This window comes from Homo sapiens, chromosome 10, assembly GCF_000001405.40.
Source record: "Homo sapiens chromosome 10, GRCh38.p14 Primary Assembly".
NCBI classification, from domain to species: domain Eukaryota; kingdom Metazoa; phylum Chordata; class Mammalia; order Primates; family Hominidae; genus Homo; species Homo sapiens.
The window spans coordinates 56,350,963-56,377,767 of record NC_000010.11 but is presented as its reverse complement, the minus strand read 5'-3'; the positions used below and the strand labels follow the sequence as shown (position 1 = coordinate 56,377,767).

The 26,805-nt window shown below is 36.2% G+C and overlaps 1 protein-coding gene and 1 long non-coding RNA gene across 5 annotated transcripts, besides 5 other annotated features; one reads left to right on the top strand and one right to left on the bottom strand.

The window, feature by feature from the left end:
• LOC124902546 (uncharacterized) lies at positions 13,049-16,309 on the bottom strand. The gene is made up of 2 exons (XR_007062372.1): positions 15,912-16,309; positions 13,049-13,743 (listed from the first exon to the last, which is right to left on the bottom strand). It is a non-coding gene; the product is annotated as an uncharacterized LOC124902546 (long non-coding RNA).
• Positions 16,060-16,799: an enhancer, noted in NCBI's record as "H3K27ac hESC enhancer chr10:58120730-58121469 (GRCh37/hg19 assembly coordinates)". NCBI's record gives its function as "activates a minimal SCP1, AML or CMV promoter by ChIP-STARR-seq in primed H9 embryonic stem cells {active_cell/tissue: H9 hESC(primed)}" and the evidence as "EXISTENCE:reporter gene assay evidence [ECO:0000049][PMID:30033119]".
• Positions 16,242-16,451: a silencer, noted in NCBI's record as "silent region_2374". NCBI's record gives its function as "represses an Ori minimal core promoter by ATAC-STARR-seq in GM12878 lymphoblastoid cells {active_cell/tissue: GM12878}" and the evidence as "EXISTENCE:reporter gene assay evidence [ECO:0000049][PMID:35858748]".
• Positions 16,495-20,541, top strand: ZWINT (ZW10 interacting kinetochore protein). 4 transcript variants are annotated; one of them, XR_428692.4, is made up of 9 exons: positions 16,495-16,572; positions 17,385-17,475; positions 17,627-17,750; positions 17,915-18,081; positions 18,236-18,292; positions 18,821-18,963; positions 19,081-19,212; positions 19,309-19,391; positions 19,583-20,541. XR_428692.4 is itself a non-coding variant. In NM_001005413.1 (9 exons), the coding sequence occupies exons 1-8, from the start codon at positions 16,532-16,534 to the stop codon at positions 19,348-19,350; spliced, it is 693 nt and encodes a 230-aa protein (NP_001005413.1). In that variant the 5' UTR covers positions 16,495-16,531; the 3' UTR covers positions 19,351-19,391; positions 19,583-20,330. The 4 variants fall into 4 exon arrangements, 3 of the variants coding, with proteins under 3 accessions (NP_001005413.1, NP_008988.2, NP_127490.1); NM_001005413.1 differs by having other exon boundaries at positions 18,821-18,859; positions 19,583-20,330; NM_007057.4 differs by having other exon boundaries at positions 16,509-16,572; positions 19,044-19,212.
• Positions 16,542-16,711: an enhancer, noted in NCBI's record as "active region_3381". NCBI's record gives its function as "activates an Ori minimal core promoter by ATAC-STARR-seq in GM12878 lymphoblastoid cells {active_cell/tissue: GM12878}" and the evidence as "EXISTENCE:reporter gene assay evidence [ECO:0000049][PMID:35858748]".
• Positions 17,425-18,624: an enhancer, noted in NCBI's record as "CDK7 strongly-dependent group 2 enhancer chr10:58118905-58120104 (GRCh37/hg19 assembly coordinates)". NCBI's record gives its function as "activates an origin of replication core promoter dependent on BRD2, BRD4, P300/CBP, MED14 and CDK7 cofactors, with strong dependence on CDK7, by STARR-seq in HCT116 cells {active_cell/tissue: HCT116}" and the evidence as "EXISTENCE:reporter gene assay evidence [ECO:0000049][PMID:35650434]".
• Positions 17,539-18,279: an enhancer, noted in NCBI's record as "H3K4me1 hESC enhancer chr10:58119250-58119990 (GRCh37/hg19 assembly coordinates)". NCBI's record gives its function as "activates a minimal SCP1, AML or CMV promoter by ChIP-STARR-seq in primed H9 embryonic stem cells {active_cell/tissue: H9 hESC(primed)}" and the evidence as "EXISTENCE:reporter gene assay evidence [ECO:0000049][PMID:30033119]".

Genomic DNA, 26,805 nt, shown 5'->3' with positions numbered 1-26,805 from the left:
AAAATTCCATCACCGATAATATATAGACACCAACAAACCTCACTTATGTAAACTGATATATAACAAATACATACGTATAATATACTTTAAATGTTAAAATGTCTAAACATGCACATTAACAGACAAGATTTGACAGAGGTTTAAAAAAACCATAACCAACTATATGCTCTTTTTAAGAAACTCAAAAATAGCAACACATACATTAAAAGAAAAATTATGCAAAAAGAATATATTCTGCATACATTAATAAAAATTGCAGTAGTGCCTACATTAGCATTATAAAGTTAGGCCTTGGAACAAAAAAATTACTAGGAAAAAATATGGGCATTACATTATAATTAAAAATTTAAAAACCCATCAAGAACATATAGCAATATTATATGTGTATGAACCAAACTCCAGGGCTTCAACCTATGTGACAAAAATACAGATAGAACTGAAACGAGAAATAGACAAATCCACAAATATAGTGGGAAGTTTCCCCATTTTATTTTCAACAATTGGTAGAATGACATGACACAAAAGAATATGGATGATAGAATATCATCAACCAATAGTTTCGATTTGGCACTTATAAAACATGCCAGGAAATATTAATAATAAAGATACAAACATAAATCACTGTTATTGAAAACACAGAACATTTATAGAGGAGAAACAATAAACCCAAAGTTATTTCTGAAAAAGAAAGTCTACAAATGAATACAACTCAAGCTGGACTAATTAAGAGAAAAAGACAGAGAGAGGAAAGAAAGGAGAAAGAGAGAGAGAGAGACAGACAAAGAGACTAACAGAAATAAGAGAGGATAAATTACTACAGATCCTCAAGAAATTGAAGGCTGGGTGCGGTGGCTCATGTCTGTAATCCCAGCACTTTGGGAGGCTGAGGCGGGCGGATCACCTGAGGTCAGGACTTCGAGACCAGCCTGACCAACATGGAGAAACCCTATCTCTAATAAAAATACAAAATTAGCCGGGCATGGTGGTGCATGCCTGTAATCCCAACTACTCGGGAGGCTAAGGAAGGAGAATCGCTTGAAGCTGGAGGCAGAGGTTGCAGTGAGCCCAGATGGTGCCATTGTACTCCACCTTGGGCAATAAGTGCTAACACCGTCTCAAAAAATAAATAAGAAAAGAAATGGAGAGATTATAATTTAACACTTGTGAACACTTTATTCTAATAATTTTGACAATTAAAATAAAGAAAATCCTTGAAGGATATGAATTATTAAAACTAAAGAGAAATGAAATATAAATAAATCTGTACAACTTTATCTACAACATGTTGCAGACAAAAGGCAAAGAACATACTTATAATTTGAGCGTTATCTATGTTCATAAATTAGATGATTCAAAACTGTTAAGGTGACCATTCTCGCCACCTTTATAGATTTAATGCAAACTCAAACCAAAACTAAGGAAATCTGTTGTAAAATGTGATGTTAATTATAAACTTTAAATGGAAATGTAAAGGACAAAAAAAGCCAAAACTATTTTGAAAATGAACAAAGCTAGAGGATATAAACTAACCCATTACAAGGATTAATATAAAAATAGAGTAATTAGGACTCTAGTATTAGCATAAGAATAGACACATGCACAAATGAAACACAAAAGAAACTCCAAAAATAGATCTACTTAGATATGGTCAATCTTATTTTTGACTAAAATGTCAAACTAATTCAAAAGTGAAATATAATTATTTCAAAAAATGGTGCTGAAACAATTGTATAGTAATATTTAAAATAAGCCTCAACATCTATCTCATGCTACATCAAAAATTTACTTGATATTGATCATAAATATAAATATTTAAGTGGAAAACATAAACTTTCTGCCAGAAATATTTAAGAAAAATGTTTGTGGCCTTGGCTTAGACAACTATTTCTAAAATGATATGTATAAAAGTAAAAATCATAAAATGTATATTTGATATAATGGACTACAACTACTTTTTAAAAATTTTCTTTTGGTAAGATATCATTAAGAAAATTAAAATATTTGTGACAAAGACAAAATTTTTGCAAAATATACCTCTGACAACGGTCTTGTGTCCAGAATACATAAAAAATACTTATAAGTTTTATAATACTTATAATAGAAAGTCAAACCCCATTTTAAAAAATGGGCAAAAGATCTGATCAGACATTTCACAAAGAGGGGTTTACTTATGTACTTCAGATATCTTTAATAGTCCTTAAATTCTCATGCTAAGACTGTTCCCTAAGGAAGGCCTATATTCAGATAGATGACCTACTAGCTCCTAGGAATACACAAATCATTAATACAATTAAGAAAAAATGCTTAATTTCAATAGAAACCCAGGCAAATATAATTTTAAAAGTATAATACTTGGAAGAATTTTAACAAGTAGAGGATTTTGTAATGCATCTTTGATTTAAAATCTTAACATAGGGAAGAAATATCTTTGTTTGTCTCAATAAAAATTCATACCTAGATATTTAAAATCACCAAAAGAACTGAGAAAAATGTCAGTATATCACTACTTTTGAATGACACAGCACATTGTGACAATGAAATAATGAAAACCAATACTGTAATCACCATGATTTAAAAAATTTAATTACCTGGAAAACAAATTGTTCAAATTATATTGGTTTTGGACATAGGGTATTAATATGATACAGAGAGATATGAATGGGGGAAAAGGCAACAAATGATTTGTTTTTTAATGTATTTTCTTCAACGGAAATACAAAGTTACCTGAGGATTTACGACATTTCCTCATAAACATTTTTAAACAAAAAATTTCAAATGGATTAGTAACCTCTATAGCAACATTACAATATTACAGAATAGATGGATTTGAGTAAAATGGGGAATAATCCCCAGATTGTCCTTGTTCTTTTAGTTACTTTTCCAAACCACTCACTTTGTGCACCTATGAAATACTGGCTGTCCTGGGGTGGATCTTGATAGCTATTGAGTGGCAACCCAAATCAACTTTGTGTTTAAACTGAGCTATGAATAATAGATAACTCTTCTTAAATGGAAAGAGTTTATATAGATAGGGTGAAATGATGTCCCTTGAAAATTAGGATGAGGCAATAGAAACAACCCAAACATGATTGTAAGTGCGACAAATATGTAAAAATAAGTTTGCGACTTTAATCCCTTTAGCTTTCAGGCACTTCTCATGGTGTTTTGGTTTATTACTGACATAAAATGAAAAGAAAGAAGCTGTAGGGCTAAATCGTGATTAGAAAAAAATCCAAAAGGTTTCAAGTGCATTTGCTCCTAGTTGAGAAACCCTTTCTCATGAGGGCATTGCAATTTAGTTCTGATGGTCTGTGTCCAAACTGCATGGATGCTGAGCATTGTTAGAGAAATGACAGACTAAAATAGGGAATTGAACAGTGTGTAAGTCAGAATCTATCCATCTGGAACTAGCAAGCAAAGGCAAGAATTACCTTATGATCTGCAATTTAAATGCTAAACATGAAGATCTCTCCTAAAACAAAATGCAGTATCTTGATCTGAAAATTCCGGCAAGTACAGCAGTAGCTAACATCATCGGTGACTCTCAGAATCATAGTTCATGGAAGAGTAGTACTAGCTTTCTAAGTTAAATTTTAAGCTTCTAGAATGGTATTTCTTAATTATTTTACTGAAACTCTAAATTAGAGTTTTAAGTTTGCTGATGAATCTGACATTGAAAAATGAATAATAGGAAACTGTGAAAGGTAAAGATTGTAAATTATAGTAAAAATGCAATTGAAAGAGATAAGTCTAATCTTGTTGGAAAACTAGTCTAATCCTTGTTGTATACTTTTTAGCATTTATTAAGTTCTTACATGAAAACATATTCCCAAATCATTTCTGTAGTTATTAATGTTCTGGATTTATGTAAATATGACTTCCAAAAGAAACTGATGAAAACAGAAACAAAAATGTTAATAATGTCCACTATGTGTCAAACAAGTTGAGGCATTTTTAAAAATTAACTTTTATGGTTTCTCGTAAGAAATATTCTAGGCTGGGTGCGGTGGCTGACACCTGTAATCCCAGCAGTTTGGGAGGCCAAGGCGGGTGGATTACCTGAGGTCAGGACTTTAAGACCAGCCTGGCCAACATGGCAAAACCCCTTCTCTATTAAAAATACAAAAATTTGCCAAGTGTGATGACAGGTGCCTGTAATCCCAATTACTTGGGAGGCTGAGGCAGGAAAATTGCTTGAACCTGGGAGGCAGAGGTTGTAGTGAGCCGAGATTGCACGATTGCATTCCAGCCTGGATGACAAGAGTGAAACTTCGTCTCAAAAAAAAAAAAAATTCTCATAATTACAATCATGATGCAATAAATAAAATTGAATTACTAAGTAAATTATCCAAGGTTACAAATGTACTAGGTAATTGAACTTCAATCTCTTATTCCAAAGACCCTGCTCTTTGCATTTTGCCATGAATTGTGCTATAATAAATCTGACAATAAGCATCTTCAGGGAACAATGCATTTCCTCTGATTTAAAAAAAAAAAAAAAAAAAAGCCTCTCTTAGCTAAGGTTGGCCTTTGGTCATTCTCTGTCCCAGCCAAATTTCCTACAAAACACATTTAGAAAATATGGTTGAAGATAGAAAATGTTGAAAACACTGATAATTGGAGTGATGTGAGGAAGGGTATTTCAAAGACTATTTGTACTACTCTCGGGTCTAACTCCAACTGGCACATGTAATACAGCAGACTGATGTGACACAGATTTGTCTCAGATTTAGATTTGCCACTTTCCAGCTCTGTGGCTTTAGTAAGTTAGCTTTTGTGAGCTTCTGTTTCCTTTCTATTGATTTGGAATAATAAGCCAATTGGGAGAGTTTCTTTATGGCAACTAAATGAGAAAATATGCATTTTTGAAAGCCTAATATAATGCCTTTGGACTGATACATGTGAATTTTGGTCATGCAATCAATAAGATGCCAGGTTAAAGGGGAAATTGGTCCTTTTCTGAAGTTCAAAATATGCATCTCAATTTTGTACTTGCTGTTGCCTTTTTCAAAGCACTATGATAATTAGTACTTGAAATCTGTAGAACAGAGAGTTTAGTTTACATTTTTATGAAGAAAAAAATCACCTAATTGTTTCATAGCAAAATATCTAGTTTTGTCAATATAATCTTATTGAGAATAAAGTATTTACACTTTGTGCCTACTTCCTTTTAAACAAGGTGAGGTTATTGTGTCAAACTGTTATTTGAGTATGCATTTTTTTCTAGAAGTCGAACTTTTCCATGTGTATATGTGTATCTTAGATATTTACCTGGATAAAGAACTTAACAACCTAACATTCAATCTCACCAATTCCAGACAATTCCTGGGGACACATGGGGTAACGCTGGTTCAGTGTCTTATGCAGTAAGGATGTTAAATAGTCTCTGAAAATTATTGGCAGCCAAGCTTTTAAATACCACATAGAAGTGAAAACGCAAATTAAAAATTTTAAAAACAAAGAAAAAGAACCGTAACTTATATCTTCCAGTCTAATTAAATTTAATCTCTACAAAAGAGTCTCAATAGGCCTTTTAGCAGAAATTGACAAGTCCTTCCTATAATGTATATGAAAACACAAATTACTCAGAATAACCAAGATATTTTTGTCAATGGAAAAGTTGGAAAACTCACATTTCCCAATTTCTTAATGTAATATAAAGGAGCAATAATCAAAACAATGTGGTGCTGCCTAAAGAACAGGAATACTGATCAGTGAAACAAAGTTGAGACTAGAAAACAAAATACATTTATGGCCAATTGATTTTTTTAAATTTTATTTTTATTGATACATAATTGTACATATTTATGGGATTGTGATATTCTGATACATGTGTAATAATCAAATCAGAATACTTAGGATATTCATCACCTATGACATTTGACATTTCTTTGTGTTGGGAACAAATGTCTAGAAGAGAAGATCTGAAATTGCAATAAATTATATGGCCCATTGATTTTTGAAAAACGGGGTCAAGGCAATTAAGTGAGGAAAGAATAGTCTTTCAACAAGTGTGCTGCAGGAATTGAATATCCACATACAGAATGATGAATTTAGGCTTTTACCTTATACCATACACAAATAGTAGCTGAACCTGGCTCAAAGATATTAAATGTCGGAGCTAAAAACTAAAAAAAAAAAAAAAAAAAAAAAAAAATTGAGAAGAAAATACAAAAAAAGCATTCCAGAACTTAAGTTTGGCAAAATGTTAATAGCCTAAAAGACATTGAAAACAATGAAAAAACAAGTCACAGACTGGAAAAAACATTTTGCAAATTATGTATCTGATTAAAAAATACTTCTATTTAGAGTAGAAATACCTCTTACAACTCAATATTAAGAAAGCAACCTCCCTTTTGCAAAATGGGCAAAGTATCTGAATGGACATTTCATTCAAGAGGATAGGCAGATGATAATAAACATATGAAAATATGGCCAATATAATTAGTCAGGGAGGAAATGCACAATAAAACCACAATGAGATACCACCTTAGACCCACTAGAACGTTTACAATGAAAATTACTGAACATACCACGTAAAGATGTGAACAAATTGAAACCCTCATATATAGTAGGTGGGAATGTAAAATGGTAGCACCACTTTAGAAAATACCTTGGCACTTCCTTGAAAAGTCAAAACATATATTTATCTTGTGATTCAGCTATTCCATTTCTAGTTATCTACTCAAGGGAAATGTCAACATGTGTTCACTTTTTTTTTTTTTCTTTTTCAGACAGGCACTTGCTCTGTCACCCAGGCTGGAGGGCAGTGCACTGTTGCAGGAATCAGAAGGACTAGAGAGACTACGGGGTGAATACAGGAGGATCTTTAGTGAGTGCACTCAGACCTAGCATACTAAAAACTGGACTAAGAACAAAGACAAGTCTTGGCTTTTATACACACTTTAAAAAGGGGGTTGGCTAGTTTGAAGCTAGCTTACAGTGCTGTGAAGCGTAGTGGCATGAAAGAAGTGTACAGAAGCAGAACAAAGACAGTTAATCAAATTGTGTCAGGTGCATAACTCAGGATTACATATGACATCTCGCTATGTGGCCTAGATGGCTGTTATCTAGTTTTTACTCAAGTCCCTTGTACAGGCTTATCTCATAACTTTCGCTATGGCGCCTAGGTGGCTGTAGTTCAGGCCTGCTCAGGCTTCCTATGGCCTTCTCTGCCACTTACATAAAATAGAATACTTGAAGTTACTAGTTACAGAGAATAGGAATACATAAACTCATAGATTTACTCATATCATTAGAGAAAGGAAAATTTGTTTTTCTTCTCCTAATGTTAAGGGAGTGCTGGGAGAGTCTCCAAAGCACATTCCTTTGAGCTCTGGCTTCTTAGATAATGTTATCAGGACTTTTGCGTAGGTCTAGCTTTTGCCTGTCACTGCCTTGCAGATGAGTCAGCTTAATACAGAAAACTTATTCTTTCTCTTTTTCATTTTCCTTTCTTTCTTTAATTTCCACCTCACACAATCGGGGTCACTGCAACCTTGAATTTCTGGGCTCAAGCAAACCTCCTGCATCAGCCTCCCAAGTAGCTTGGACTACAGGTGCATGCCAGCAAACACAGCTAAGTGTTGTATTTTTTGTAAAGACAGTGTCTTGCTATGTTGCTCAGGCTTGTCTTGAACTACTGGCCTCAAGTGATCCTCTGGTCTCAGCCTCCCAAAGATCTGGGATTACAGTCATCAGTCACTGCTCCTAGCCCACACAAAAACTTTTAAGGGAAAGTTCATAGCAGCATTATTTATAAATGTCAATAACTAGAACAATACAATTTCTATCAACTGGTGAACAAGTAAACTGTATCTGGTATACCCACATAATGGAATATATTCATCAATAGACAGGAACAAATTATTGATGTATACTACAACATAGATGATCCTCAGAAACACTGTGCGAAGGGAAAGAAGAAAGATGCAAAAACCTAAATATCGTGTACTTCCTGAATGTGCAGAAGAGGCTAGTCTACAGAGACAAAAATTGTAACATTGTTTTTCTGGACCTGGGAGTAGGAACTGAAGTTCACTGCAAAGAGACAAAATGGATCTCTCCAGGGTTAATGAAATGTCTTAAAACTGATTGCAAAATTCTATCAATGTAATAAATCACTGAATTTTATACTTATAATTAATACATTCTAGGCATGTAATTTCTACTTTTATAAAACTGTTTTAAAATGTAGGTAAAACTTATTCCCAAAGCAACACTGAAAACACACAATAAAATCAGAAGAAATATTCATTGGTTTATTAAAGCAAAAGTATTTTGCTCATCAAGAGTCTGAGCCCCTAATGAACACTTTAATTGTTTTATTGTCTGCCATATAAGTTTACTGTGTAGAGGTTTTGATCGAATATACAACTTGCTTTAATGCATTCAAACACCCAAAACAAAGAAATATTCATCAAGTTTGTTTTGTTTGTTTTTTTAGACGGAGTCTTGCTCTGTCGCCCAGGCTGGAGTGCAGTGGTGCGATCTCCGCTCACTGCAAGTTCTGCCCCCTGGGTTCATGCCCTTCTCCTGCCTCAGCCTCCCAGGTAGCTGGGACTACAGGCGCCTGCCACCACGTCTGGCTAATTGTTTTGTATTTTTAGTAGAGATGGGGTTTCACCGTGTTCACCAGAATGGTCTCAATCTCCTGACCTCGTGATCCGCCCACCTCGGCCTCCCAAAGTGCTGGGATTACAGGCGTGAGCCACTGCACCCAGCCCCAGTTTGTTTTTTAAATAAAATTTTTATCATTTTGTAATGCTAGTTATGGAAAAATGTTTTTTAAAAGTTACTATTACCAAAAGTATCTTTTTAAAAAAAATTCAGCAGGTTAAATTATGTAAGTTTTAAGACTGCTTGGAGAATATTTAAGAAATATTGGAAAAACATCCATCAGTTAATGGATGTGATATAAATGTAGAAATATTCCTACATTTAGGAAGGTAGAAGAAATATTTTTGACAATTGTAACACATAGTACATGGAATATTTTACTGTATATATTTAAGGTGTACAACAAGTTTTGCTATACATATACAAAGTGAACTGATTTCTACAGGTGCATTTTTAGGCATCCTTTGAAATCATTATAGCACATGTGCTTTATTTAAGCCATTATTGCTTAAGCCTCTAAGTTAATAAATATCACAATAAAATTACATTTTAGCTACCGGTGAATAAAAGTGACACAGAAAGCAAACAATCAGAGATTCTATTGAGAAAAAAGGCTAGTGTTAAAATTCAAGGAGAAAATTAAGTGAATTTCAAGATATTACTTTTTAGATAATGTTTACAATGTAAGATATTCACATACATGAGAAAATATATGTAGAGACAGGTACAGAGAGGGAAAGACAGGGACCATATGTATATATTAAGATACATACATATTTATATATAATCTTTTTTATTTATTGGGTTTCCATGACCCATTTAGATGATCTTGCCTCAAGGAAGTGATGATCTGGAAATATAGGTTCAATTCCTAAAACAATGCTGAGAGAGATAAACACAGCAAACAGAAGTTTCTATGCAATAGAAATAGATTCCAAAAGTATGATGTCAGTTTTGATGTTTTATTAAGTACTGGAGGTGTTCTGCCTATAGACAAATGCAAAGATAAGTTTTATCTGCTTACTTATATTTGCTTAATGCTCTATAAATCTCACATGAATTTGCCTCCATGCTCACTTCATATATTCTAATAATATAGTTGATATTCTATTTAAGTGTTAATGCAACTACTATTTTCAGAGCCATTTCATATGTGCTAAACAATAAAAGCTGCGTATTGGACAACACAGAAAAAAGTAAGACATAGACTTATACCTTTTAATTGATCTACAGTTATTTTCACTAGAATTTTAGGCCAGATCTCTCCCAATCAGAGCCAAGTAGAGGGGGAAATAGAGTTGGCAAATTTATGCAGTATGATGTTTAAAGTCCTATTTTCCAACGTCACCTTGTAGCATGTCATTTTGACTTGCAATTTGTTGTTTTATCCTTGAACGGTTTGGTCTTCAGTTTAATCAAACACTATTTAAATTTGGATGTTAACAGTGATGTCATTGATACATTTGGAAAATATCTTATTCAAAAGGCAGTATCTTCATAGGAATTTGTGATAAATAGATCAAAGGTATCTAAACTCTCACACATAAAGCCAATCCCTGCCACTTTAATCAAAATGTGCATTTTAGCAAGTGTCATTTATTATCTCTACTGTAACATAAATGTAGAATATGTAGACAGTGTTAAAACATAGACACATCAAGCAGAATGAACTCTTACTAGTCAAGCAAGAAGATTCTTTATGGAATGCATAGGAAAAGCATTTTTCATTAAATTGGAAGTATGCATACAATACAAATTGCAATGGAGAGCGTTAAAACATTGGCTAATGAAAAATTGCTGAAAATTCTCCTAAGAATTTTCTGTATTACGCATCTCAATTTATTTCCTTTAATGCTTCTGTCACTGTAGGTACTTCTCTGTTACTAGAAACTCATCTTTTTTCTACAAATCCACAATATGTCAGTTACTCAACTATATTGATTCCAGCATTCTTTTCTTGTTCATTCTATAGTCAGCATACGGAATGCCATTGACCTCCACAGTTTCAATTGCCTACATATTTATGTTGATCAAATATATATTTCCAGTTCTCACATTTTTCCAAGCCCTAAACCTCCTTATCCATTCAAGACACATTCAAATGTCTTTTAAAAATATATACATGAATAGCTAAAATGCCTCTAATAGGTAGGTCAACAAAATCAAGTTGAAAATCTTCCTCTGTCATTTGTCAAATAGAATTATCTTCCAGGAATCACTATTTAAATAAATTGTATCACAGTTCATCCAGTTGCACCATCAGAAACTGAAGTAACATATTTTATACATCGTTTAGTAACTCCAACATATCCAACAAATGATAAAACCTATGAAGTATTTCACCTAAATATATCGAGCTATTTGTATCTTTAGTGCCAAGTTACTTATAGAATCCAAAAATGTTTTCACCTTTTACTAAGCCTACTGGAATAATCACATTTTTCAACCTTTTATTTTTCCACCCATAATTGAGGCTTAACTTTGCAATACTAAAATCTGACTTGCCATCTAATTATGAAGAAACTTTCAATAGATTTCTACTATGTTTATATAAAACCAATATGCTTAAAATGACCTACTGCAGCCTTGCATGAATTGTCCCTTATGTGCATAGAACAAATTATTAGTATCAACTATTAACAAAAAATAGCATTTATCCTCAATAAGCTTATTAGAAAAGAAGAGATATCACTCAAATAATTCTACAAGCAGATGTAAAATGCAACTGTGACTAGATAAAAAGTCTGTAGAGCTTTGTGAGCCTATAGTAAGGAGGCCTGATATAGGCATATAGGTGAAGGAAGGTTTGATCATGTCTGAAAAATCTGAACAATAATCTAGATCATGTCTGAAAAATTTGAGCAGAAATCTAAAGATGTTAGGAGTTAATTAAGTCAAAGAAAAAGACTGCAACATTAGCATACAACATCACATTCAATGCATGTAGGAGGCTATTTAGATCGTTTACAAACAAAAAAACTATATATTTTGCATTGTACTATTCATTTATAATTGTTCAGGCTAATTTTATGACCCATAATATGGACTTGACTATTGGGTATACACTGGGAAAGCATGACTATTCTGCTGTTAGGTTCAGTGTTCTATAAATTATTGTAAGTGGCTTATTGAAATCTCAACAATGACTATGGATTTATCTATTTCTCCTTGCAGTTCAGTTTTTGATTCATGTATTTTGATGATCTCATATTAGGTGTCCAAAAACATTTATGATTAAGTTCACATGATTAATTGACCCCTTTATCATGATAATATCACTTTCTTATTTCTGGTGACAGCCTTTTGCCCAAATATATATATGTATATCTATATATCTATATATATATAGATATATATATATAGATATACATATATATGTGTGTGTGTGTGTGTGTGTGTGTGTGTGTGTGTGTGTGTGTGTATATATATGCCCTAAAATAGCCACTTCAGCTTTCATCTGATTAATATTAGCATGGTATTTTTCCATCCTTTTATTTCTTTATATTTAGTGTACTTAACGTAATTTTGCTGTGGTATCCAATCTAATAATCTCTCCCTTTTAATGGTATATTTAAGGTATTTACATTTAACGGTGATAACACATATGCTTAGGCTTATACCTATCATTTTGCTATTTGTTTTTTATTCTCTTCATTTTTTTCTTTGTTCGTCTTCACTTTTTCTGCCTTCTTTTGGATTAGTTGTTTATATTTTATCTCCTTTATTGATTTGTTACCTACAATTCTTTGTTTTAGAAGTTTATAATAGTTTTCTATTGCTATGTAACAAATTATCACAATTTAGAATCTTAAAAAAACACATTTATTATCTCACAGTTTCTACAAGTCAAGATTTTAAGACAGTTTCACTGGGTCAAGGTTTTGCATTCTGCTCAAGGTCTCACAAGTTTTCAATCACGATGTTAACTGAGTAGCGTTATTTTTTATTTGATTATTTGTAGAAACTTAATCCCCTCAGGGCTGTTTGACTGAGGGCCCCATCTATTCATTGGCTATCAGCTCAGGTCTATTTACAGGTCCTAAAGGCCACTCAGAGTTCCTTGCCATGTGATAACTACCACAGGCAACTTACAACATGGTTGTATGCTTCTTCCAGGCCAGAAGGAGAATCCCTCTTTTTTTTGTGCAGTCTGCTAAGCTTCTGCTATACATGGAAATGGAGGCATGAGAGTGGCATGCTATCCCCTCTGCCTAACAAGCAACCTAATCAATAGAATGACATCCCATCACCTTTATTGTATTCTATTGGTCACAATTTCTATCTGCACTAGAAAGAAAGAAATCACACAAGGAAATGACTCACTGGTAGCCCTTCTAAAGTGTGTTGGCACTATTGCTTCAGAGAGTCTAGAACACAGTTTTAACTCATCAGTTCACCTTCAACTGATAACAAAACTTCAGAGAAACTATACAAGCATATAAATTTACTTTTATTTCTTCTCTCCCACACTTTGTGCTACATTTTACTTTTACATATGTTATAAAACCCACATCACAATTTTTTTTCCTTTAAAGATAGGGTCTCACTTTGTTACCCAGGCTGAAGTGCAATGGCATGACCAACTCATCACAGCTTTGAACTGGGCTCAAGTGATCTTCCCACCTCAGACTCCTAAGTAGCCAGGACCACATTTCACTCCTTTGTATACATTCAGATTTGAAGCTAATGCCATTTTCATTCTGCCTGAAGAACTTCTTGTTTCATGTGGGATCTTATGCTGAAAATTTCCTTCCATTTTTGTGTGTTTAAGAATGTCTTTAGTTAGCCTTCTTTTTTATTTTTATTTATTTTTTGAGACAGTCTTGCTCTGTCACCCAGGCTGGAGTGCAGTGGCACGATCTTGGCTCACTGCAACCTCCACCTCCCAGGCTCATGCCATTCTCCCGCCTCAGCCTCCCGAGTAGCTGGGACTACAGGTGCCCGCCACCACGCCTGGCTAATTTTTGTATTTCTAGTGGAGACGGGGGATTTCACTGTGTTAGCCAGGATGGTCTTGATCTCCTGACCTCGTGATCTGCCCACCTCGGCCTTCCAAAGTGCTGGGATTATAGGTGTGAGCCACTGCATCCAGCCTAGTTAGTCTTCATTTTTGAAAGCTGTTTGCTGGAAACAGAAATCAAGGTTGACTTTTTTTTATTCTTACAGTACTTGAAAGATGTTACTCTACTGTCTTGCTTGCATTGTTCCAAGAAGAAATTTCCCGTAATCCTTATCTTTGTTTCTATGTAACATGTGCCCCAACACCCCTTATTACTTTAGAATTTTTTATCAATGGTTTTGAGTTATGCAATTATGGTATAACTTGATGTCATTTTCTTAATATTTCTTGTGTTTGAGATTTGTGAAGCTTCTTGAATATATGAATTTATATTTTTCATCACATTTCAAATTTTTTGGTCTTTATTACTTGTTTTCTTGTCCTCTCCCCTTGCCTCTCTGAGACTCCACTTTCAAGTATATTATTAGGCTGTTAGAAGTTGTCTCACAGCTCACCATTGATTTGTTCATGTTACTTTATTTTCATTTTTTAATGTTGTGATTGATTTTGGGTAGTTTCTCTAGAGCTGTGTTTCACTTTCATTCTGCAATGTGTAACATACTATATTAATACCATCTAATTCCATCTATCACATTGTAGTGTTCACCTCTACAAGTTTGATTTAGGTCTTTATTACAAGCTTTGTGTCTTTGATTAACTTTTTTAACAGCTTTTATGACAGCAGTAAAGTGTAAATTTAGCGGTTTTCTGTATAGAATTGTACAACCTTCACCATAACCGAAGTGTAGAACATTTTATTTATCCCTTTAAAAGAAACACTATATCCATTTGCAGTCCCTCCCCATACTCTCTCAACCTCTCATTCCCACCAATCCCCAGCCCTGGACAAGCACTATATAAATTTACTTTCTGTTGCTATAGATTTGTCAAATCTAGACATTTCACATAAATGAAATAATATATTATGTGGTCTTTTGTAATTAGCTTCTTTCACTTAGTATATTTTCAAGGTTCATATTTTAGCATGTAGTAACCATTATTTAGCATGTAATAAAGTTCTCTTTACTACTGATTAATACTTCATTGAATGAAAGTATGCATTTTCACTCACCAGCTAATGGGCCTTTGGGTTGTTTTTACCTTTCAGCTTTTGTGAATAATGCTGCTATAGAGGTTTGTGTACTTTTGTGTCCCCATGTTTTTATTTGTCTTGGATATATAACTAGGAATGAAATTGTGACTCATATGGTAACCCTACGTTCAAAGCCTATGCACCAGTTTACATTTCCATCAACATGAGAATTCCACTTTCTTTACATCCTTAGCACCACTTACCTTTTTCATTATAGTTCTGATATCTTTTTGAAGATATGGGATATAGTTACAATAACTGTTTTAATGTCCTTGCCTGTTGATTCTAACATTACTTCAGTTCTGATCAGCAATTGATTTTTCTCCTCATTATGTGTTTTTTTTTTTCTTTTTGCAAGCTTGGTAATTTTTCTTTGTATGACATATGTAAATTGCACCTTTGGTGAACATTTTTCTATTTCTATAAATACTGCTGAAGTTTGGTCTTGTCATCTGTCATGGTTTGTTAAGTTTGATCCATTTGGGTCTTACTTTTAAGAGTTAGATGGCACTACAGCACTGATCAGCTAGGACTAATTACTGCCTACTAAATAATTAGTAAACAACTATCAAATCAAGACTTTTTTGTGTGTACTCTGTCCAGTGTCCTACGGACTATGAAGTTTTCCAGCCTGGTTAGTGGAAATAGAGACTATTTCTGACCCTCTGTAATGTCCATATATATATATTTATATATATATATATATGTATTTTTTTTTTTTTGTGAGACGGAGTCTCGCACTGTCACCAGGGCTGTAGTGCTGTGGCGCAATTTCGGCTAACTGCAACCTCAGCCTCCCTGGTTCAAGCAATTCTCCTGCCTCAGCCTCCCGAATAGCTGGGATTACAAGCGCCCACCACCACGCCCAACTAATTTTTTTTGTACTTTTAGTAGAGACGGGGGTTTCACCATGTTGGCCAGGCTGGTCTCAAACTCCTGACCTCGTAATTCACCTGCCTCAGACTCACAAAGTGCTGGGATTACAGACGTGAGCCACCGCGACCGGCCATGTCCTGGTATCTTTAAAAATCTTTTAGCTAGTTTCTTGAGACACATACTGCTCAGTACTCAGCTGAATGAATACCAAGTTCTCTCTCAGCAGTTATCTTTCTCCTGTACTCTGCAAAGAACATTACCTACCTTGGTCTCCCCAGAATATCTGTTCTATTTTGCCAACGCAGGCAATCGGCTGGGCTCTGCTTGAGTTCACTCTCCTGCATCGCATCTATAAAATACTAATATCTTTGAAAGCAGCTCGCTTTTTGAGCGCAGATCATTTGCTTCCTGTATCTCCCGGATCACTATTCTTTACTGATTCCCAGCGTCTTAGAAACAGCCCCACTGTTTTTCGGGGTTTTGTTTTTTTTTTTCTACAGCAGTAGTGAATATTTTAAATAAAGTGTCAATGCTGTAAGTTTCCCTTAAAACGCAAACTCAAGGAAATGCTTTCCCTTTTTCGAGTAGAGAAAGAACTTCCACAGGCGCGCGGTCGAGCTCAAGCCCACTTATAGTCTCTGGCACCGCGTAAGGACTAGCGCGCAGGCGCAGAGCCCGTGCGCGCCTAGCCATAACCGCGCTTGCGCCAAGCAGCGAGGCCCGCCAACGAGCGAATCCGCGCCTGCCAATTAGAGCGCACAATGGTCCTTGATGCCCGCCCACTAACCTCTGCAGCCAATCGCCTGCCCCGGCGCGAAGTCGACTGTGACTTCAAAGTAATCTTAGGGATTGTGGGAAGGCAGCTGAACTCGGCGCCTGGAAAGATGGAGGCAGCGGAGACAGAGGCGGAAGCTGCAGCCCTAGAGTAAGTGTTTGCGGCTAAGTGGCAGCTGGGGCCGGGCCTGGGAGGACCTTGTGGGCCCCTATGTGTAATGATTGGTGCCCTCGACCCTGTACAGCTGTTGAGGTTCGACCCTGCCGTGAAGTGATCCTCACCGCAGTCCCGTCTTAGGTTCCTGAGGTGTCTGTTGCCTGCTCCAGGAGTACAGCCTTTGGGGGACCGTTCGCCGCTCCCCACATCCACATAATCCACAGGATGTGCTCTAGGAGACGGTTTCACTTCTGTCTTCTTGTCCCAACACGACACATTCCCAGTCACTTCTCATCCCCATCCCTGCCCCTTCGTAGATTGCTCCAGTCCCTAATAATGAAAAACCCTAGAGTAGACCGAGGCATCCAGCCCTCTGCCCTGAGTCCTTTCTCAGCTATTCCAAGACTCTGCCCCAAGGCTGGTGCTCAGCGCCAGGAGGGATCCCAAGGCCCAGCATTCTTCCCCTTCCTTGCATATCTCCCTGGCTTCCTTCACATCTTGACTCAAATGATTTCTCTTCAGTGAGACACTCCCTATTTAAAATTTCAGCTCTTTTCTCAAACTCCTTATCCACTAGCCCTGCTGATTTTCCTTTTGGCACGTATTACCACCGTGTGCCCTCCATGCACGCCATTCCTGGTTGCAGGCTGTGGACCCTTCAGGCCCTTGTGTAAACTCTGGTCAAGGCAAGACTCTCAATACTATATATACTGATATACACATCCACATTTGTTTGTGTACACACACGAACTGTAGAACTAGCACCACAAGAAACTGCAATTTCCTGTGTTTCCTTGCCCCTCCAGGGTCCTGGCTGAGGTGGCAGGCATCTTGGAACCTGTAGGCCTGCAGGAGGAGGCAGAACTGCCAGCCAAGATCCTGGTTGAGTTTGTGGTGGTATGTACAAGATGAGAGCGAGCCTTTCAGAAGCCAGGGTCTGGTCCTGGCTCCTCTTACTGAGATACAGGGCAGCACTGGCAGAGAGCAGACTTAAGGAAACCTGTAAGGAGGTAAGGATGTTCCCTGTCTCTGCCCTCCCTCTGAGCAGGACTCTCAGAAGAAAGACAAGCTGCTCTGCAGCCAGCTTCAGGTAGCGGATTTCCTGCAGAACATCCTGGCTCAGGAGGACACTGCTAAGGGTCTCGACCCCTTGGCTTCTGAAGACACGAGCCGTGAGTAGGCAGGGGATTGTAGTAGCAGCTGACCTGAGTGGGGAAGGAAGGAGGATTTCAGTTAGGTCTCCCATTTGGCTGATGGGAAGGAGGCCCAGTGTTGCAGGGAGGCAGGCTAGCAGGCCACCCTCACTCATGTACTCATTCCTGGTGGCTCATCTCAGGACAGAAGGCAATTGCAGCTAAGGAACAATGGAAAGAGCTGAAGGCCACCTACAGGGAGCACGTAGAGGCCATCAAAATTGGCCTCACCAAGGCCCTGACTCAGATGGAGGAAGCCCAGAGGAAACGGACACAACTCCGGGAAGCCTTTGAGCAGCTCCAGGCCAAGGTACACCCAGGGGTCTTGAGTACAGGGAGGGAAGGGCAGTTAGAAAGGAAGAGGGAAAGAGTGAGCAAGCTGAGTTGTGCCAGCTTGCAATCTCCCAAAATTCTAGCCAGAAAAAATAGACTTCTCTTGGTCTTTCTCCCTTGCTTATCTGTAGAAACAAATGGCCATGGAGAAACGCAGAGCAGTCCAGAACCAGTGGCAGCTACAACAGGTAGGTTCGTCCCCCTAGGAGAATATCCCTTCCCACCACCATGCCATTGTATCGGCTGTGTCCCCTGTCTAGAAAACCGTTTTGCTTCCTCCTTTGAGGCACTATAATATAAATACCAACATGGGCTTGAATCTCAGTGTCACCACTTACCACTGCATGATCTTGGGCAGGTCACCTAACTTTCTGTTTCTTTATTTAAAATGAAGGCAATAATACCACCTACTCTAGAGAGTTATTAAGATGATTAAATGATCATTACAGCAAGGACTTTAAAATAGTACCTGGCACATAGCAAGTTAAATAAGTGTTATCACCTTTGTGCCCCTTCCCCGCAAGAATGCCTCACCCTAGAACAGCTCATTCTGATCTTTCCTTTTCTCTAGGCCCCTACTCCACCCTGAAGTGAATAGAGTCCCTCTTTTCATCATTGAGCCTGAGCCCTGAGCTGGGTGTAGGCTGGAGGGGTTGGAGGGAGTTTCTAAGACTTCAACATCTGATGCATAATGTCTGCATGCTCACTCCTGGCAGGAGAAGCATCTGCAGCATCTGGCGGAGGTTTCTGCAGAGGTGAGGGAGCGTAAGACAGGGACTCAGCAGGAGCTTGACAGGGTGTTTCAGAAACTTGGAAACCTGAAGCAGCAGGCAGAACAGGAGCGGGACAAGCTGCAGAGGTAAGTTCGGGAGCATGGGCTGCAGATTCAAAATGGTCCAGCTGAGATTCCTTTCCTTCACACTTACCTCCTCTTTGTAGGTATCAGACCTTCCTCCAGCTTCTGTATACCCTGCAGGGTAAGCTGTTGTTCCCTGAGGCTGAGGCTGAGGCAGAGAATCTTCCAGATGATAAACCCCAGCAGCCGACTCGACCCCAGGAGCAGAGTACAGGAGACACCATGGGGAGAGACCCTGGTGTGTCCTTCAAGGTAAATGAGAGATGGAACAGGTGGGCATGGGCTGGCAGGTGGAGACAGAAGCTGGGAGATTGGCCTTACCCACTGTCTATACTGTATTTCTCCAAGGCTGTTGGTCTACAACCTGCTGGAGATGTAAATTTGCCATGACTTCCTGGAGGACAGCAGCATGGAGAAAGATCCTAGAAAAGGTCAGACCCAACTCAGGCCTTGGTGTCCCTGGACTGCAAGTGTGGAAGGAGGGAAAGCCTGGTTTACCTCTCTCTGCATCTGAGCTCTGCTACCCATGGAGCAGATGGATGGTGGGAACAGGAAAGAGCTTATGTTACACCTCATTCCCATGCTTAGCCCACCCAGAGCTAACCCCTGTCTTCTTCCCCAGGCCTCTGACTTCCCTCACCTCCCAACCATCATTACAGGAAAGACTGTGAACTCCTGAGTTCAGCTTGATTTCTGACTACATCCCAGCAAGCTCTGGCATCTGTGGATTAAAATCCCTGGATCTCTCTCAGTTGTGTATTTGTTCATCTTCATATGCTGGCAGGAACAACTATTAATACAGATACTCAGAAGCCAATAACATGACAGGAGCTGGGACTGGTTTGAACACAGGGTGTGCAGATGGGGAGGGGGTACTGGCCTTGGGCCTCCTATGATGCAGACATGGTGAATTTAATTCAAGGAGGAGGAGAATGTTTTAGGCAGGTGGTTATATGTGGGAAGATAATTTTATTCATGGATCCAAATGTTTGTTGAGTCCTTTCTTTGTGCTAAGGTTCTTGCGGTGAACCAGAATTATAACAGTGAGCTCATCTGACTGTTTTAGGATGTACAGCCTAGTGTTAACATTCTTGGTATCTTTTTGTGCCTTATCTAAAACATTTCTCGATCACTGGTTTCAGATGTTCATTTATTATATTCTTTTCAAAGATTCAGAGATTGGCTTTTGTCATCCACTATTGTATGTTTTGTTTCATTGACCTCTAGTGATACCTTGATCTTTCCCACTTTCTGTTTTCGGATTGGAGAAGATGTACCTTTTTTGTCAACTCTTACTTTTATCAGATGATCAACTCACGTATTTGGATCTTTATTTGTTTTCTCAAATAAATATTTAAGGTTATACATTTCTTCTGACTTCCTTTATTTTCACAATCATTCAATTCATAGCATTTCCTATATTCTGTTATAATTATTTCATTGATTCATAAATTTCTTTGAAAAATAATTTGGTCTTCTATTGATTGTGAGAAGATAATCTAAGTTTAATTTGGTCAGAGAATATCATCTGTTTAATAAACTTTGAAATTTGGTGAGTGAATTATCTTTTTTACTGATAAAGAGTGATGTCATCTTTTTTAATGTTTCACATAGGTTTGGAAAGAATGCATTTTAGATTGTGTGTAGTATTTTCTATTAGATTATGTTTGCAATTTTTGTTTCAATTTATATCTTATATACTTAATTTTTTGTTGTCTGTCACCTGAGAGGTGTGTTCAAATCTCCAACTATGATAGTGGATTTGTGCATTTGTCTTTATAGTTCCATTTTCTTACATACTTTGCAGTTACTTTATTAAGGTATATGTAAATTTACATTTATATTTTTCTTCTGAACTGAACTCTTTGTGTGGTAGCCTGCTTCATCTATAGGCTAATGTGTTTAACCTTGAAAACTACTAGTTTTAATATTAATATAACTGTCAATTCTTTTGGTTACCCTTTGCTTGACATCCTTTCTCTTGAATTTCCATTCTTTTTTAGTTTCAACCTTTCTTTATATTTACCACTTGTATACAGCATTTAAAGGGTTATTTATAAAAAAAAAAAAAACTCTTGTCACATTTGTCTTTATGATTTTCTAGTTGTGTCAATTTTTTATTTGCTTTCTCTTGGCTTTTTATTTATCCCTTTCATGCCTTTTATTTTTTATTGTTTCTTCATGCTTTTTGTTGTTTGTTTGTTTAGAAGGTCTAATTTAGACCGGCTAGTTTAGCTTTCATAGTTAGCAATGTCTCAAGTTATTTAAAGAATTAAAGACTCTTCATCCTTTTCTTAATAAATGAAGCCTAAACAGCTGTAACCATTGATAGATCATCCCACTCTAAACTATTAAGGTATTTTTGTCCAGTTTATTACTTCTAGCCTGTTTGTGTTCTCATAAATTAATTTTTTAAATTATTTTATACAGTCAATGCTTTATTACTAATTTATTTACTATTTTTGCCCACATTATTTTTACATTTCAGAGCTTTCATGTGGAATACTTTTTCCATCTGAAATAAATGTCTCAGAATTTCCCTTAGAGTTTGCAGACTGTATAATGTTTTAAATTTTACTATGAAAATATTTTTATTTCATCCTTATTCTTGAGAAATGTTTTTATTATGTAGAGAATGCTTGGTAGGCAGTTTGACTTAACACATTGAAGATTAACTCAACTGATTCTCTGGTCATCTGGTTTTGATCCTTGATGATGAGAAGTCAACTGTCAGTTTAAAAGCCCTTCCTATGCATTTTTTTACCCAGTTAGTGCTTTTAACACCTGTATTTAGTGCTCTATAGTTTTACTATATTGTGAATAGTTTGGGACTCTGGTTTACTTATTTATTCATTCATTCTGCTTGCAAATAGTTGAGCTTTCTAAATTGCCACTCTTTCAACAATTCTGGAATATTTTCAGTTTATCTGTTTAAAAAACACCTCTTTTGTATTAGCTTATTCTAAAATGCCAATTAGACATCAATCAAATTTTCTAACTTTTTTCTTCATGTCATGCAAACTTTCTTTTGTAGTTACCATTGCTCTTTCTGAGATTGCATTCTAGATGCTTTTTCTATTTTAACTTTATATAGCCAAGCTATTGTTTTTTCATCAGTTTCTTAATTTTTGATCTTTGATTTTCATTTCAATAAGTTGTATTAGATCTCAATTTACTACTGCTTTTGAATATTTTCTTCTGGCTTACATTTTGAGCTTTTTAAATTTTTTTTTTTAATTCTTGATGTATTTGACTACATAGTAGGTATACATACGAGCTTATTTTTTATTATCTTAATATATGGACACTTCATTATCTTTTTTGGAAAGGTTCATAATATATAACTTTATTGGCCTATCTCTCATACTCCCTGTTTAATATAGTTCATGTAGTTTTACTTTGAGCTGCCTATTTTTCCTAAATTTTACCGTTACGGCCTGATACAAAATTGAGAGAATTTGTGTTAACTTCTGTCAATAGCTTGTGGGCATTACCTGTATAACTCTTAGAAATGTTAAAATGAGTGTTTTTAATGTTTTTTATATTTGTGTGCTATCCCATTTTTCATTCCTGTTGTTTATTTTCTTTCTTATTAGTATTTCCCAAAGGCCTTTTTTCTACTTTATATGTCTTTCAAAAACACAGGTATTGGCATTATTTTCTTTAATGTTGCTTTTAATACATTCTTTTAATTATTTTTTGTCTTTATTCCCTTCTGCTCTAATTTTTAATATTTGTAGGATTTTTAAAAATTAATATTTGATAATACATATGTTCTTTTTTATAGTCCAACAAACGCATTTACATATTTACATTTTTATTTGACCACCACTCTGAGAATAATTCATATATTTTAATACATAGGCTATTGATTATTTCTAAATAGATTATAATTTTAGTATTGATTTTATTTTAAATCAAGGAGGTTTCCTTTGTTGCCCTTGCCTCTCAAATGTATTTGTAATAGTGTTTAGTTCCTCAATGGATTTAAGATAATTTTGTTATTTTTAATGCACCAAATTTTGTAATCTTACTGTTACTTCTTTTATTCCATTTGCTTCAAATGGTATCACACCTCTGAATATTGTTCCTTAAAATTTATTAGTTACATATAGGCTTATGTATATGTGTAGTCATTATATATGTTCTTATAGGGAAGAGATTTTATCATTTTTGTTCATCACTAAACCCACAAGTTCAAGAAAAATACTGATAGAGGGTAGATCCACAAACATTGGTGGAAATGTAAATGGTTGCCAAAAATGAAAAAGGAACACAATGCATACAGGAGGTATTCCAAATTTTTAAGTGTGTCTTGGAAGTTTGTATGAGATTTCACAGAGGTAACACCCCAAAAAAATTTTACTTCTATATTATGACTTCTTTTGCATCTACTTTTTCCAAAATGTTATTTTTTTCTAACAGAGTTCTAAACATTGAAAATCATTTAACACATTGCATTCAGTATTTCTGATCATTTTTATCTAACCAGTTGCTAGGATCAGTTTCTAAAAAACAGCATGAGAGAGAAAACTTGTTCAAAGTACCCTCCTAAAATTATTAAGGTCTTCTAAATTTATGTGACTTATTCTATCAGGTAAATATTCTTATTATCCCAGATAGTGTTGGCAAAGCTAATACTGCACATTCTGTCTGTACAGTTTCGAAATTTATAAAACTAAGGTTTCATTTCTAATACTCTCCCCTGCCATAACAAGATGGGCATTTTCCGCTGCTCTTTAACTCTTATAGTGCTAAACTTGTACTTTTTGCAGCAGTGGTGATCAGTGAGGGTTTTGAATATCTCTAAAAATAAATGGCTTTCTTCCCTGTGCTACCAGTACATCATACAATACTAGGCGTATATATTTTATTGAAGTATTGTTTTTATGAGCTTGTTTTTCCAAAAGGGAATAAAATATCTACAAAGCGTTAGTGATAACATCTGAGAAGTTTCTGCTAACTCTGAAAATGCCGTAACTATTTACACACAATGTTAATTTTCTCCTATTTTAGAGCCTGAGGTTAATACACCTCATTCTTGTCTTACAGAATTTCTATAACTTGAATGTTTATGTCTCTTCTTTGAGCCTCTTTCTCTCTTTTATGTATAAGTTCTGAGATATGAATAGAATGTGAAATTAAATAATTTTATTTCATTATGATTCCCAGTCCAGTTTTTCAATGACCCTTTTTATAGATAGAACATTGGGCTCTGAGGAACTTCCTGTTTGGGTTTGTAATTCATTAATTAACAAACATGCCCCACTGATAAAATTTGCTCTTGAAACCCTGACTATCCTAGATTGTTTTGAGGCCAATTTAAAACTGTCATAAATTCGTTATGTCCTCAAATTTATAACTTAACAAAATTATGAAAAAGCAAAAAACCTTAATCTTCATAGACCTCTGTAATATACAGAGACTGGATTTTGGATGCCATGTTTGTATGCATTTCTAAATTTTAAATTGTCAGACGGACTTTAGGAAACACACTACCCAAGGTGTGTATAATTCATTTCATCATGCATTATGTAGTAATTATACCCAAATGTAGAAGTTGATTGTTTAAGTGGGTAGATTACTATATGCCTAAAATCATGTTTTATGATTGATAAAACCAGAGGAAATTCAGGATCATGCTTTCAGAAAGTGATAGGACTATTAGAAAGATAAGGTTATCACTAAAATGTTTAAAATAAACCATAAAAAATATAATTTAGTGCAAACATATTTGTTCTGTTTGTATGTACTATAAAAAATAACATGAAGTGAAATAATTTGTTTTCTGGAAAAATGAATTATTGTTTAAAATATTCTGTAGATTCTCCAGGTTATCCAATATATGAAATTTTATTGTAAAACCGGGTCTAATCTTAATAACCAAACAGTAAATGTCGATTTTATTAGTCTAGTTAAAAAGCAGTGATATTAAATATTCATCCTTATCATATAACTAATCATTGAACAATAATTCATTTTTTATATAGGCATTTGAGGAAAATTACTTCTCTTTGGGGATAGAAGTGTATCCACAGTCTCCATTTGTATGAGGGTTGGATAAAAGTAATTTGAAATAATTTATTTACTGAAATATAGCATTATCTCTGGTGGTTTCATTCTGTTACTTCATAAAGATAATAGACTGTGAGGGAAGATACATGGATTTCTAGCTTGAAAATTCTAATGTTAATAATCACAAAGTGTAACTTTGTTTCAGTATGTTTTCAACAGGGAAATAAGAGGAAAAGGAAAGAAATGATAAATTCACTAGAGAAATTCAATCGTAAAAATATAGAGCATGTCTGTGTATGTGGTAATGTTACAGGCGGGTCTTTGTTCTTCAAGCTCCCAAGATGGTGGCAGGCCGCTCCCAAGATGGTGGCGGGGTGCTTTTTGTTCTCTGACCTGGGGTTCTTGGCCTCACGGATTCCAAGGAATGGAACCTTGGGGCATGTGGTGAGTGTTATAACTCTATTAGAAGCCGTGGGTCACGGAAGAGAACCGTGGAACCCAGCAACTAGTATTCAGGTTGATTAGGACGAACCCGGGCATTTAGCTGTGTAGGAACAATGGCGAGCCTTTAGCCCGATAGGGAGCCGCAATGGATGCCTCGCTGGATCAGGAGGGCAGCGGACACCCTGCCGTATCCAGAGGAGTATAAGTTAGCGGCAGGTCTGTGACAGTGGCATTCAGCAGTGGTGGAACAGTGTGCGAAAGCTCAGCTCCAGCCAGAACAAACACGGACCAGAAGAGGGTGCAGTTGCAAGATTTAATAGAGTGAAAACAGAGCTCCTATACAATGAGAGGGGACCCCAAGGGGGCTGCCCACTCCCAGCTCGAATGCCTGGGGTTTATATCCCAATCATTGTTCCTCCCCCTGTGCTCTCAGGTGATAGATGATTTGATTATTTCTTTATCTCCTGTTTTTAGCCTAATTGGTATTTCAGTGAGCTCTCTTTACTACCTGATTGGTTGGGTGTGAGCTGAGTTACAAGCCCCGTATTTAAAGGGCGGTGCGGTCACCTTCCCCAGCTAGGCTTAAGAATTCTTAGTCCGCCTAGGAAATCCAGCTAGTCCTGTCTCTCAGTATGTCTTTATACATATATACATACATAACATAGCCAGGGAGAATGGAAATAAGATGGAAAAAGTGACTACTTGAAGGATATTATGGTATTTTTCAGATTCAGACCCTGCCATTAACCACTTGCTCTCCTAATTCCTACACACAGGGACATAACATCTTTGCATCCACAAATGAACATACACCAGTACCTTCAACATTAAATATACTTATTTACGAAATGCTCATTGTATAGTATTAGGGAATATTTTACAAAAAGCTGCCCCTTAAGCTTAGCTTCAAATAGATGAAATTATCCAGAGGCAGATTTCATCAAACATTTATTGAATGTCAGCTCTGTGCTGAACATAAGTTCTAAGAATCTTTTAAAAAGAAAAAACTCGGGAGGGCGCGGTGGCTTACGCCTGTAATCCCAGCACTTTGGGAGGCCGAGGCGGGCAGATCACGAGGTCAGGAGATCGAGACCACAGTGAAACCCCGTCTCTACTAAAAATACAAAAAATTAGCCAGGGGAGGTGGCGGATGCCTGTAGTCCCAGCTACTCGAGAGGCTGAGGCAGGAGAATGGTGTGAACCCGGGAGGCAGAGCTTGCAGTGAGCCGAGATCACGCCACTGCACTCCAGCCTGGGCGACAGAGTAAGACTCCATCTCACGAAAACAAACAAACAAAAAAAAACAAAGAAAAAACTCAATAGTCCTACCTTCTTTGAGTTTAAATTTGGAGTCAGGAAAGAAAAAAAATTATGAAAAATAATTCT